Below are 13,960 nucleotides of genomic sequence, written 5' to 3'. Positions count from 1 at the left end.
CAGGGAGGCTGACATCTGTAATGTCAGCACTTTGAGAGGCCCAGGCGAGGAGATTGCCTGAGCCCAGGAGTTTGAGACTAGCATAGGCAATATGTCAAGACCCTGTCTGCAAATTTAGAAGTTAGTTGGGCATGGTGGCACATTTCTATAGTGCCAGCTACTCAGGAGGCTGAAGCAGGAGAATTCCTTGAGCTCAGGAGTTGGAGGTTACAGTGAACTAGGATTATGCCACTGCACTCCAGCCTAGGTGACAGAGCAAGGCCCTGTCCAAAAAAAAAATCAATTTCTAGGCCAGGCACAGTGGCTCATGTCTGTAATTCTAACACTTTGGAAGGCCAAGATGGGCGGATCGCTTAAGCCCAGGAATTCGAGACTAGCCTGGGCAAACTGTCACTATAAAAAATACCACCCACCCAAAATTAACATTTGTTAGTACCTCATAACTTTTTTTTTTTTTTTTTTTGAGACAGAGTCTAACTCTGGTGCCTAGTCTGGAGTGCAGTGGCACAATCTCAGCTCACTGCAACCTCCACCTCCCAGGCTCAAGCGGTTCTCCTGCCTCAGCCTCTCGAGTAGCTGGGACTACAGGCATGCACCACCATGCCCAGCTAATTTTTGTATTTTTAATAGACACAAGGTTTCACCATATTGGCCAGGCTGATCTCGAACTCCTGACCTCAAGTGATCTGCCTGCCTAGGCCTCCCAAAGTGCTGGGATTACAGGTGTGAGCCACCATACCCAGCCTAATACCTCATCACTTTTTGTTGCTGAATAATATTCTACAGTTTGTCTGTCCATTCATTATTTGATGGAGATTTGAACTCTTTCTACTGTTTGAAATTAGGCTATTATGGGCCAGGTGCAGTGGCTGATGCCTGTAATCCCAGCACTTTGGGAGACCGAGATGGGCGGATCACGAGGTCAGGAGATCAAGGCCATCCTGGCTAACATGGCAAAACCCCGTCTCTACTAAAAATACAAAAAATTAGCTGGCCTGGTGGCGGGCATCTGTAGTCTCAGCTACTCGGAAGGCTGAGGCAGGAGAATGGCATGAATCCGGGAGGCGGAGCGTGCAGTGAGCCCAGATCACGCCACTGCACTCCAGCCTGGGCGACAGAGCGAGACTCTGTCTCAAAAAAAAAAGAAATTAGGCTATTATGGAAAATGCTGCTATGAACAACTTTTTACAAGATGTTTTTGCACATACATGTTTTCACTTCTCTTGGGTATGTCTGTAAACGTGGAATTTCTGGGTCATATAGTAATTATCAGTGATTATCTTTTTGTGGATTCACCAAACTGTTTTCGAAGGCAGCTGCACCATTTTACTTTTCTACCAGCGATGTTCCAGTGTTCCATTTTCTGCACTTCCTATCGATTATTGATGTTTGTAGTTGTTGGGTTCACAGTAGTAGTAGTATATAGCCTTCTAGTCACTTACAAGTGATATTTCATTGTGGTTGGATTTCCTTAATGATGAATGTTGAGCATCTGTTCCTATGCTTATTAGCCATGTGCATCTTCATTGGAGAAATGTCTACTCAGACATTTCTTTTAATGTTTTAAAAATTAGATTGTGTATTTTTGGTTCAGTTATGAGTTATTTTATATTCTGAATACTACACCCTTATGAGATTTGCCAGTACTTTTTCCACTTCTGTGTACTGTTTTTCCACTTTCTTGATAGCATTCTGGATTTCGGCAAAGTTGGCAATGTTCTATGGCTCATACCTGTAGTCTCAGCACTTTGAGAGGCTCAGGAGAGAGGACCACCTGTGTCCAGGAGTTCGAGGCTAGCCTGGGCAACATAGTGAGACCACATCTCTACAAAAAATAAAAAATTAGCTGGGTGTCATGGCATGCACCTGTAGTCCCAGCTACTCGGGAGGTTGAGGTGAAAGGATTGCTTGAGACAGGGAGGTTGAGGCTGCAGTGAGCCATGACTGACACTGCACTCAGCCTGAGTGACAGAGTGAGACTCAGGACCAATACAGTAATACAGATTGTGATGAATAAACTTTGAAAACATGGAATTAGCTTTATTCTGAATGATTGTATTAGTCTGTGTTTAGGAAAACGTATACAATTACTTCAAGAATAAGAATAGTTATATGTTAAGAATTTTTGCTGGGCGCGGTGGCTCACACCTGTAATCCCAGCACTTTGGGAGGCTGAGGTGGGCGGATCACGAGGTCAGGAGATCGAGACCATCCTGGCTAACACGATGAAACCCCGTCTCTACTAAAAATACAAAAAATTATCGGGGCGTGGTAGTGGGGGGCCTGCAGTCCCAGCTACTCAGGAGGCCGAGGCAGGAGAATGGCGTGAACCCAGGAGGCGGAGCTTGCAGTGAGCTGAGATCGTGCCACTGCACTCCAGCCTGGGCCACAGAGCGAGACTCCGTCTCAAAAAAAAAAAAATAAAATAAAAAGAATTTTGGAGGTGCTTGAGCAGTGAAAGGTGTGGAAGACTCCAGCAGGAATATCAAAGAAAAATAGTCACTGGCAGCTTCAGTGAGAAACCAGAGCTCATGGAGATGTCTTAGAAGTTACTGCTTCTGGCTGCTTGATTGGGATTAGAGATGGTGAGGTCTGTGCAGTATTCATCTGAGATTAATGGCTTAGTGCTTCACTTCTGCCTTTCCTATTCCATTCAGGTTTTCCTTTTTTTTTTTTTTTAACAGCATTTTAAATTTTTTTTTATTTTTAATTTATTATCTATTTATTTTGAGACCGGGTTAAGAGACGGGCTAATTTTTGTATTTTTGGTAGAGACAGGTTTTCGCCATGTTGCCCAGTCTGGTTTTGAACTCCTGACCTCAAGCAGTCCACCCACTTCAGCCTCCCATAGTGCTGGGATTACAGTTGTGAGCCACTGCGCCTGGCCCATTCAGGTTTTTCTCATTGGCAAAGTTTAGCAAGAACCATACAGGAAACGCCTTCTGGAAAACAGTTCTGAGCACCAGATTGCAGTGGTGGTACTGTTAAGTGGACAAAGGACATTGCAGTATAGAAAAGTAGCTGAGACATATTGACCTCAAAACTGGAGATGGTTTTAGAAACTTTGAGAGGGAATGCAAATGGTGCCTAATGTCTTTGTTCAGTTGTTTTGGGTACCTGCAGTATTATTCTTTTAGGAAATGGTGACTGGGTGCCATGTTCAAATGTATTCCCCAAAAGTTCATGTTGGAAATTGAATCCTCAAATCCATATGTTGATGGTATTTAGAGGTGGGAGCCTTTGGGAGGTAATTAGGGATAGATGAAGTTATGGGGGTGGCTCCCTATGTTGGGATTAGTAGCCTTATAAGAAGAGGAAAAGAGAGCTGAGCTGGCATGCTTCCTCCTTCTCACCATGTGATGACTTCTGTTATGATGCAGCAAGAAGGCCCTCACCACATGTAGCCGCTCAGCCTTGGACTTCCCAGCCTCCAGAGCTGGAAGAAATAAATTATATATATACACATACATAAATTATATACATACATATAAATTACCCAGGTCAGGTTTTCTGTTACAGCAACAAAAAATGGACTAAGACACAGGATAGGTTGGGGTTTGGGGGCTGTATTGTGAATATCTAAAAAAATTGGCAGTGGAAACATGACACAGTGATTGATAGCAATTTGATGAGCATCACTGAGAAGCAAATGATGTAGAAAGACAGACTTTATTGTCCTTTCCTTGCCCTTCAGGCCTAGATCTCTAACAGTTTGTCAAGAAAGAGGGTATTGCTAAAGCTGTCTAGGCTTTGCTTTTAAAAGTCTTGTAAGGAATGGCATGTCCTGTGGTGCCCGGAGATACAAAACCTTTTTTGTTAAATCCTGGAAGCTTACTGTATAAAATGAGTCTTTTCTGTCAATTGCACCACTGGGATAGTTGACCCTGTAGGGCAACTGATGCTTATGTGGTAACTCAGAGATGGAGGGGCTTCCATATTATGGTTTCTCTATCTCAAAAATGGGCCTCTGATTATTGCAAAGGAAACAAGCAAGAAGGTCACACTTAGTTTTAAGTGGTTTGGCCTGAAAGTGATACATTACACTTACACCCTGTTTGGCAAAACCGGTCTCATGGTTTTAACTTGAGGCAAGGTGGCTGAGAAATTAGGGGAATGTTGGCTATGTATGTGAAGCTGTTAAAAGAATGAGGAAAGTCAGGGCTGGGCGCGGTGGCTCATGCCTGTAATCCCAGCACTTTGGGAGGCGGAGGTGGGCAGATCACAACAAGGTCAGGAGTTCGAGACCAACCTGACCAACATGGTGAAATCCCGTCTCTACTAAAAATAGAAAAATTAGCTGGGCATGGTGGCGCATGCCTGTAATCCCAGCTACTCTGGTGGCTGAGGCAGGAGAATCGCTTGAACCCGGGAGGCAGAGGTTGCATGAGCCGAGATCGCGCCACTGCACTCCAGCCTGGGCAACGGAGTGAGACTCCATCTCAAAAAAAAAAAAAGAAAAAAAAAGAATGAGGAAAGTCATATTGGAGTGATCACCACCATACCTAAAAAACAAGGTATAGAATATCATATATGGTATTCTCTTTGTGATAAAAAAAATCTGAAATTAATACCTATCAAGAAACCTATTTAAGAAAATAAAAAGTTTGAGAAGGCAAAACAGAATAGGGATTTTCATATATTTGTAATATAATTTTGACTTTAGAGACAAAAATATTTTACATGTGGAAAAGCAACGAATAAAAAGGGAAACTAAACAAATTGAAAACTAAAACAAGATGGGATTATTCATTTTTTGGAACAAATATAGCCTTAAACATTTTAAATGTTCACCCTCAATTGAGTATATTCTATATATGCAAGGAAATCCTGTGAAGGTCTTTAATGCTTCATTGGAAATATAGGCTCCCTCTGAAAATCCCCAAGTTATGATATAACAGATTACCTTTCGGTTATAGTCTAATATGAAAATACATTTGGAAGTGTTTACCTCTCTCACTTTAAGGTAAGAGGGCATGAATTTTTTTTTAAATCTCAAATTCATTTTCCTACCTTGATAGTGGAATTAGAATATATTAAAACTTGGAGAAATATTTTTATTTAGATACAAATAGAGCTCAATAGAAGTAAATCTGTAAGTTAAAAAAAAACAGTAAGGACGTTTAATAATTTTTGTCTTTCTTTTTGAACACCCAAAAGACAGGCGATAGGCTATATATAATATTAGACTCTCAGGATAAAGAACAAAGTCAGTTAATGTAATCTGGCTCTTCCCAAAATTATGGTGACCACGTTGTCATTAATATAATTGGTAACAGGTATTTGGTCTGCAACATGTTTGTGGGTTTTGTTGTTGCTGTTGTTTGAGAAAGGGTGTCCCTCTGTCCAGCCCAGGCTGCAGTGCAGTAGTGTGATCACAGCTTGTTGTAGCCTCAACCTCCTGGGCTCAAATGATCCTCCCACCTCAGCCTCCCGAGTACCTGGGACCACAGGTGTTGCCACTACACCTGGCTAACTTTTTAATTTTTTTGTAGAGATGAGGTCTCACTGTGTTGCTCAGGCTGGTCTTGAACTCCTGTGCTCAAGCTCAAACGATCCTCCAACCTCAGCCTCCCAAAGTGCTGGGATTACAGGCATGAGCCACTGTTCCTGGCTTTCTAACTTAATTGTTTCTTTCTCTTCCTCTGTTTTTGATGTGTGAATATGAAATTTGAAAATCCCCGTTCTTCATTAAAATTACAGTAGCCATTTAACAGAATTAATATTCTTTGGGAAAAAAATATGGAAATATTGTTTTCAGGTAAACAAGACAAAGCCTCAAAATGAAAATGGTTTTGCCCCTTATCCTATACCCTTCTCAGTCATACACCAGCCATCTGCATTCTCCTCAAGGAGAAGGAAGGCTGAGTGCTGATGGAGGTAGAGTAGGCAGAATGGACTTCTCAAGAGGATCTGCCACATCCCAAACTGCAGCCTCCGGACTTGCTATTATGTGAGAAAGATAAACTTCCTACTTGTTTTTTAGTCCCTGTTTTTCAGATTGTCGTTACAAAAATTTTTCTACCTGACAAATAAGATTGTTATTTTTCACTGGGAATAGAATGCAGCATTTGAGAGTGAATCTTCCATTTTCATGGCTTAGAAAAACTTCATGAAAACCTTTTTCCACTGCTGAGGTGGATCTATTTAGTTCATGTTGCCTGAGATACAAAATGTGGGAATAAAAGTAGAATTATGACCTGCTAATCTACGAGCCTATGCATTGCAGTAACTTTCTTCTTTGCATCGAAAAAAATGCATTCGTTCATTCGTTCATTCATTCATTCAATACAAACGCACAGAGTCCCTGCTCTCAGGGATTATTCTAATCATTGATGATCTAGCAAGAAACTGAACCAGTTCCCTGCTCTCAAGTATCTTATGTTCTATACGGGTAAGTCAGCAATAATTATAATAGGAGGATAAGTTCAACAAAGTGTACATGTAGTGACAGAGTGACAGGATGTCCTAATTTAAACTGTTCAGGAAATACCCATAGGATAAGATGATATTTGAGCAAAATCAGTAATTGGACTCTGTCATATAGATACAAATGGGGAAAAATAATTGGGCAGAGGAAATGGAGAAAATTGTCAGGATGGGAACATGTTTATAATGATTGAGGAATATCCACAATCAGCGCGTGGCTTGGTGAGGTGTGTGATCATATCTGTTGGAGACATTTAAAATTTGAGACTTCTTATGGTTCACAATTTTTTTATTTCGGGGGACCTAAAAGTCAAAACACCTATATAAACTGTTTATATTTTTGCACGTTGATTCTTGTAACAATTCTTTTCCTAGAGGGGTTAAGATACAAGTGTGGATCCAGAATCATGATGACCTATTTGTGGAATGCACAGACAAATTTATTTACAGGAGCCTCTCAGCTGCTGGGGAGACGTGGGGGTAGGGTGAGGTAATGAGTTAATGAAAAGATAGTAAATACCATTTGTCAAAACTGTCTGAGAGATTTGATGATACCAGTTCTGCAAAGACTTGTTAGGATACACACCTCTGCCATCTACCCCTGGGGCCACTTAGGGGTATGTTGCTACTTCCTCTTATGAATGCATGTCAAGTAAAATTAGTGGAGTTTTTAAGCCCCAGTTTTTATCTTTACTGTCAATGTCATCAAAAATTATTTTCACATAAAATACCGTAGTTTCTTTCTTTCTTTTTTTTTTTTTTTTTTTTTTTTTTTTTTTTTTTTTTTTTTTTTTTTTTTTGAGATGGAGTTTCGCTCTTGTTGCCCATGCTGGAGTGCAGTGGTGCGATTTTGGCTCACCGCAACCTCCGCCTCCCAGGTTCAAGCAATTCTCTGAGTAGCTGTGGTTACAGGCATGCACCACCACGCCCGGCTAATTTTTTGTATTTTTAGTAGAAATGGGGTTTCCCCATGTTGGTTGGGCTGGTCTCGAACTCCTGACCTCAGGTGATCCACCCGCCTCGGCCTCCCAAAGTGCCAGGATTACAGGCCTGAGCCACTGCGCCCAGCCATTACTGTAGTTTCAAATCAAATAGCAACACAATCACGTATTTCCTATGTTTTCCCTGGTATAAGGGAAAAGACCTACCAGTTATTCTTTTCCAATTAGGAGAAACCTTGTGTTCCCCTTACACTGGATTACAAAACTGACTGTACGCTTTATTGCCCCAACTTTATTGTAATTCAGATATGTGATGAAAATATGACTCTCAGCCAGGCGCGGTGGCTCACGCCTGCAATCCCAGCACTTTGGGAGGCCGAGGCGGGTGGATCACCTGAGGTCAGGAGTTCGAGACTAGCCTGGCCAACATAGTGAAATCCCATGTCTACTAAAAATACAAAAATTAGCCGGGCGTTCTGGTGAGCACCCGTAATCCCAGCTACTCGGGAGGCTGAGGCAGGAGAATCACTTGAACCCAGGAGATGGAGGTTGCAGTGAGCCGAGATCACACCACTGCACTCCAGTCTGGGCGACAAAAGCAAGACTCGGTCTCAAAAGAAAAAAGAGAATATGACTCTACATGAGAAATCGACAAACTTTAAAGGGCCAAGTGGTATTTTATTCTTTGCAGGCTATACGGTTGCAAATACCCTACTCTGCCTTTAATGGATCAATAGTACCTACACGTGGGTTTGGCCATGTTCCAAGTAAACATTATTTAAAAACAGATGGTGATGATGCAGGGCAGGTGAGCCCCCAGACTGGGGATTCGCTCAGGAAATAATTCAAGGGTGAACTGGTAGTGGGTAGCACCTCCCCCCCACCCCCCCCCGAGACGGAGTTTTGCTCTTGTTGCCCAGCCTGGAGTGCAATGGCGCTACCTCAGCTCACTGCAACCTCTGCCTTCCAGGTTCAGGCGACTCTCCTGCTTCAGCCTCTTGAGTAGCTGGGATCACAGGCTTGTGCCACCACGCCCAGCTAATTTTTGCATATTTAGTAGAGATGGGGGCGGGCCTTCACCATGTTGGTCAGGCTGGTCTCAAACTCCTGACCTCAGGTGATCCACCCGCCCCAGCCTCCCAAAGTGGGGTAGCAACTTTTATTGGAGCGGCGGCAACAGCAGCAGCAGATGAACGGCTCCTTGCAGGGCACGGCTACCCCAAAAGGAGTGTGCTCAAAGTAGCAGCTCAGAGGCAGGTCTGCAGTCATATTTATGCCCACTTTTAATTACATGCAAACTAAGGGGCAGGTTATTCAGAAATTTCTAGAACGGGTGTGGTCACTTCCAGGTCATTGCGGTGGAAAGGGGTGGTCACTTCCAGGTGTTGCGATGGCAGTGGTAAACTGACATGGCAATGGGGGGCGTGTCTTATGGAGAGGTGCTTTTGCCTCTTCCCTGTTTCAGCTAGTTTTCAATCTGGTCTGGAGTCCAAGCCCTGCCTCCTCTCTCAGTAATTCATATTTGACTTGTGTTTCGTAACACATGATCTACACAAAAGAATGAGGAGTGCCAGAAATAGTAACCACATGGGTAATTTTTTTGTTTGTTTTGTTTTTGTTTTTGTTTTTCGTTTTTTGTTTTTGAGACGGAGTTTCGCTTTTGCTGCCCAGGCTGGAATGGAACGGTGCGATCTCGGCTCACCACAACCTCCGCCTCCCGGGTTCCAGCGATTCTCCTGCCTCAGCCTCCCGAGTAGCTGGGATTACAGGCCTGCGCCAGCATGCCCGGCTAATTTTGTATTTTTAGTAGAGACAGGGTTTCTCCTTGTTGGTCAGGCTGGTCTCGAACTCCTGACCTCACGTGATCCGCCCGCCTCGGCCTCCCAAAGTGCTGGGATTACAGGCGTGAGCCAACGCACCCGGCCCCACATGGGTAATTTTTAAACGTATTTCTTCCGTTTAAATCTCTTTAAAATGTAACTGTTTAGAAAATAACAATCTGCCTCGGGAGCATGATCCATGAGTTGCTGCCCTGGAGCCACTTGTAGGTTATCTAAAAGTTAGATGTATGATAATGACAGCACACACACCAACAGTTGTGAAATGAAAGTATACATGGGTAAGGATCTGATGCTTTACATGAAGTCGTATGGAATCACTGGAAGGTAGGCTGTGATAAGCTGTATAGTATAACCCCCCTAAAGCAAATGCTAAAAATTTGGTTATCGTTAACACTAAAGCCAAAAAAGGAATTGGAAGAGAGCCACTTAAAAACCCAAAGGCCTTCTCCGCGGCGCTCCGGGCCCGGGCCGCTGGCCTTACCGCCCACTGGGTAAGGAGGCTCAAGCTGAGCCCGGCGCTGCCGCCGCCCTTCTCTTGCTCTCCGTGTCTCCCTTAGTTTTGGGCGCAGGAGAGCCCTGGGCTCTACACGGGCCTGCAGGCGGCGGCAAGGACACTACGGCCTTAGCCCTCTTAGGGAGGCCGCTGCAGCCCCACCGGAAGACATGTGAGGAATTGCATAAGACAGCTATGCAAAATGGAGCTGGAGGAGCTTTATTTGTGCACAGAGATACTCCTGAGAATAACCCTGATACTCCATTTGATTTCACACCAGAAAACTATAAGAGGATAGAGGCAATTGTAAAAAACTATCCAGAAGGCCATAAAGCAGCAGCTGTTCTTCCAGTCCTGGATTTAGCCCAAAGGCAGAATGGGTGGTTGCCCATCTCTGCTATGAACAAGGTTGCAGAAGTTTTACAAGTACCTCCAATAAGAGTATATGAAGTAGCAACTTTTTATACAATGTATAATCGAAAGCCAGTTGAAAAGTATCACATTCAGGTCTGCACTACTACACCCTGCATGCTTCCAAACTCTGACAGCATACTGGAGGCCATTCAGAAAAAGCTTGGAATAAAGCTTGGGGAGACTACACCTGACAAACTTTTCACTCTTGTAGAAGTGGAATGTTTAGGGGCCTGTGTGAACGCACCAATGGTTCAAATAAATGACAATTACTATGAAGATTTGACAGCTAAGGATATTGAAGAAATTATTGATGAGCTCAAGGCTGGCAAAATCCCAAAACCTGGGCCAAGGAGTGGACGCTTCTCTTGTGAGCCAGCTGGAGGTCTTACCCCTTTGACTGAACCACCCAAGGGACCTGGATTTGGCATACAAGCAGGCCTTTAATTTATATTGAACTGTAAATATGTCACTAGAGAAATAAAATATGGACTTCCAGTCTACATAAACAAAACAAAACAAAACCCAAGGCAACGAAAGAAAAGAGAAGAAAGAACAAAGGCAAAAACAAAACCAATACCAAGATAGTTTAACCATATAATAATCACTTTAAAAGGAAGTGGTCTAAACACCCCAGTTGGAAGACATTTTCTGTTGCCGTATGACACATTGGGAAACAGCACCCTTGGATGAACGTCGGCAATTTTATTGTAACTCGCATTTAACACAAAGCCCCTAAGCCTAGAGGTTTTTTTTTTTATTTTTTTATTTTTATTTTTATTTTTTTTATTGATCATTCTTGGGTGTTCCTCGCAGAGGGGGATTTGTCAGGGTCATAGGACAATAGTGGAGGGAAGGTCAGCAGATAAACAAGTGAACAAAAGTCTCTGGTTTTCCTAGGCAGAGGACCCTGCGGCCTTCCGCAGTGTTTGTGTCCCTGGGTACCTGAGATTAGGGAGTGGTGATGACTCTTAAGGAGCATGCTGCCTTCAAGCATCTGTTCAACAAAGCACATCTTGCACCGCCCTTAATCCATTTAACCCTGAGTGGACACAGCACATGTTTCAGAGAGCACGGGGTTGGGGGTAAGGTTCCAGATCAACAGGATAAGAATTTTTCTCAGTACAGAACAAAATGAAAAGTCTCCCATGTCTACTTCTTTCTACACAGACACGGTAACCATCCGATTTCTCAATCTTTTCCCCACCTTTCCCCGCTTTCTATTCCACAAAACCGCCATTGTCATCATGGCCCGTTCTCAATGAGCTGTTGGGTACACCTCCCAGACGGGGTGGTGGCCGGGCAGAGGGGCTCCTCACTTCCCAGTAGGGGCGGCCGGGCAGAGGCGCCCCTCACCTCCCGGACAGGGCGGCTGGCCAGGCGGGGGGCTGACCCCCCCACCTCCTTCCCGGACGAGGTGGCTGCCAGGCGGAGACGCTCCTCACTTCCCAGACAGGTTGGCTGCCGGGCGGAGGGGCTCCTCACTTCTCAGACGGGGCGGCCGGGCAGAGACGCTCCTCACCTCCCAGACGGGGTCGCGGCCGGTTAGAGGTGCTCCTCACATCCCAGATGGGGCGGCGGGGCAGAGGCGCTCCCCACATCTCAGACGATGGGTGGCTGGGCAGAGACGCTCCTCACTTTCCAGACTGGACAGCCAGGCAGAGGGGCTCGTCATGTCCCAGACGATGGGCGGCCAGGCAGAGACGCTCCTCACTTCCCAGACGGGGTGGTGGCCGGGCAGAGGCTGCAGTCTCGGCACTTTGGGAGGCCAAGGCAGGCGGCTGGGAGGTGGAGGTTGTAGCGAGCCGAGATCACGCCACTGCACTCCAGCCTGGGCACCATTGAGCACTGAGTGAACCAGACTCCGTCTGCAATCCCGGCACCTCGGGAGGCGGAGGCTGGCGGATCACTCGCGGCTAGGAGCTGGAGACCAGCCCGGCCAACGCAGCGAAACCCCGTCTCCACCAAAAAAATACGAAAACCAGTCAGGCGTGGCGGCGCGCGCCTGCAATCGCAGGCACTGGGCAGGCTGAGGCAGGAGAATCAGGCAGGGAGGTTGCAGTGAGCTGAGATGGCAGCAGTACCGTCCAGCTTCAGCTCGGCATCAGAGGGAGACCATGGAAAGAGAGGGAGAGGGAGACCGTGGGGAGAGGGAGAGGGAGAAAGAGGGAGAGGGAGAGGGAGAGGGCTATTTTTTGTATTTTTAGTAGAGCTAGAGGTTTTTTTTAATTTGTTTGTTTGCTTGGGGTTTTCTTTTTGTTTTTGTTTTGTCATCAATGTGAACTTCCTGATTGTAAGGGGACCATAGTCAGTAACTGAGCATGTCTGATTCTGATGATTAGTAAGGTGAAGGAGGCAGGGTGAAAGAGGGCAAGTTTCTTGAAGATATTTACAAATATCTGATGATGATAAACCAATTGGGTAAAGTTATAAGTGAGAGAACAAATAGTTCATTGAGGGTGGTCACATAATAAAAGGTAATATATTTCTAGATGAATTAAAAATAAATGGTTTTTTTTTCTTTTTTTGAGACGGAGTCTCGCACTGTCACCCAGGGTGGAGTGCAATGGTGCCATCTTGGCTCACTGCAACCTCTGCTTCCCGGGTTCAAGTGATTCTTCTGCCCCAGCCTCCGGAGTAGCTGGGATTATAGGCGTGTGCCACCATGCCCAGCTAATTTTTTGTATCTTTAATAGAGACAGGGTTTCACCATGTTAGCCAGGCTGGTCTCAAACTCCTGACCTTGTAATCTGCCCGCCAAAGCACAAATCCAAAGCGCTGGGATTACAGGTGTGAGCCACTGCGCCCAGCCTAAAATAAATGGTTATTCTAATGGAAGTAAAACATATAAAACGGAAAGGAAGAAAGTAATCATATGAAGAAAATTCTCAAATGCAGATTTCAAAGTTCGTACAAGTAGTGGAGATAATGAGCTACTATCTGTAACTGTGGATTTGGAAGGTTAAGGTGAGTAAAGAAAAAACAGGTCATTGAAAGTGTACTTTCAGCTTTCTGGAAGTTGTAATGTGGTAGCAAATATCTTTGAATTCTCAGAGGCTTGCAAGAACAAACGTTTATTTCTTCCTCAGAACTATTATTATTCAGCACTTAGTTCCACAATGCGATGCTGGGATTCAGGGTAAGATTCAGTCTCTATCAGGACATACCATATTAGTAGCAGAGAAAAGAGAGGGTTAGAAGAAGCAAATGAAGCCTCTTCTAGCTTCCATTTAAATTCGAACAGGCAAGTTTCTCTCACCAGGCCTCGGGAGCATGATCCACGAGTTGCTGCCCTGGAGCCGCACAATTTTGTAGCTTTCTTGGCAGAACCAGGTACTCAAAGGGTTGCGCACAGCAGGGAGTAGAGATGACTCTTGAGTTTTCCCTGCCTAAGGATGGATGCATATAGCTGAGGGGTGCCAGCTGTCTGGGTAGAGCCTGCCCCCTGAGCAAGTGGGGCCCCAAGCTGACCTCACCCTCAATATGTGCAGCCTTTTATAGCACAGTCATGGGTCACCTAATGATGAGGATGTGTGCTGAGAAATTTGTTGATTTCATCATTGTGCTAACGTCATAGGGTGTACTTACACAAAGCTACATGGGATCGCCTACTACACACCTAGGCTAAACCATATAGACTTTTTACAATAATTTACAATAGACTCGGCTCACTGCAACCTCCACTTCCATGGTTCGATTCTCCTGCCTCAGCCTCCTGAGCAGCTGGGACTACAGGCACACACCACCATGCCCGACTAATTTTTGTATTTTTAGTAGAGACAGGGTTTCACCATATAGACTGTTGATCCTAGGCTACAAATGGGGACAGCATGTTATCATAGGCAATT

General features: G+C 44.7%; 1 pseudogene; it reads left to right on the top strand.

The window, feature by feature from the left end:
• Positions 9,651-10,621, top strand: NDUFV2P1 (NADH:ubiquinone oxidoreductase core subunit V2 pseudogene 1; annotated as a pseudogene).

Source organism: Homo sapiens, chromosome 19 (genome assembly GCF_000001405.40).
Source record: "Homo sapiens chromosome 19, GRCh38.p14 Primary Assembly".
Taxonomy (NCBI): domain Eukaryota; kingdom Metazoa; phylum Chordata; class Mammalia; order Primates; family Hominidae; genus Homo; species Homo sapiens.
Note: the sequence above shows the minus strand (reverse complement) of the source record. Positions and strands in the feature narration are given on the sequence as shown.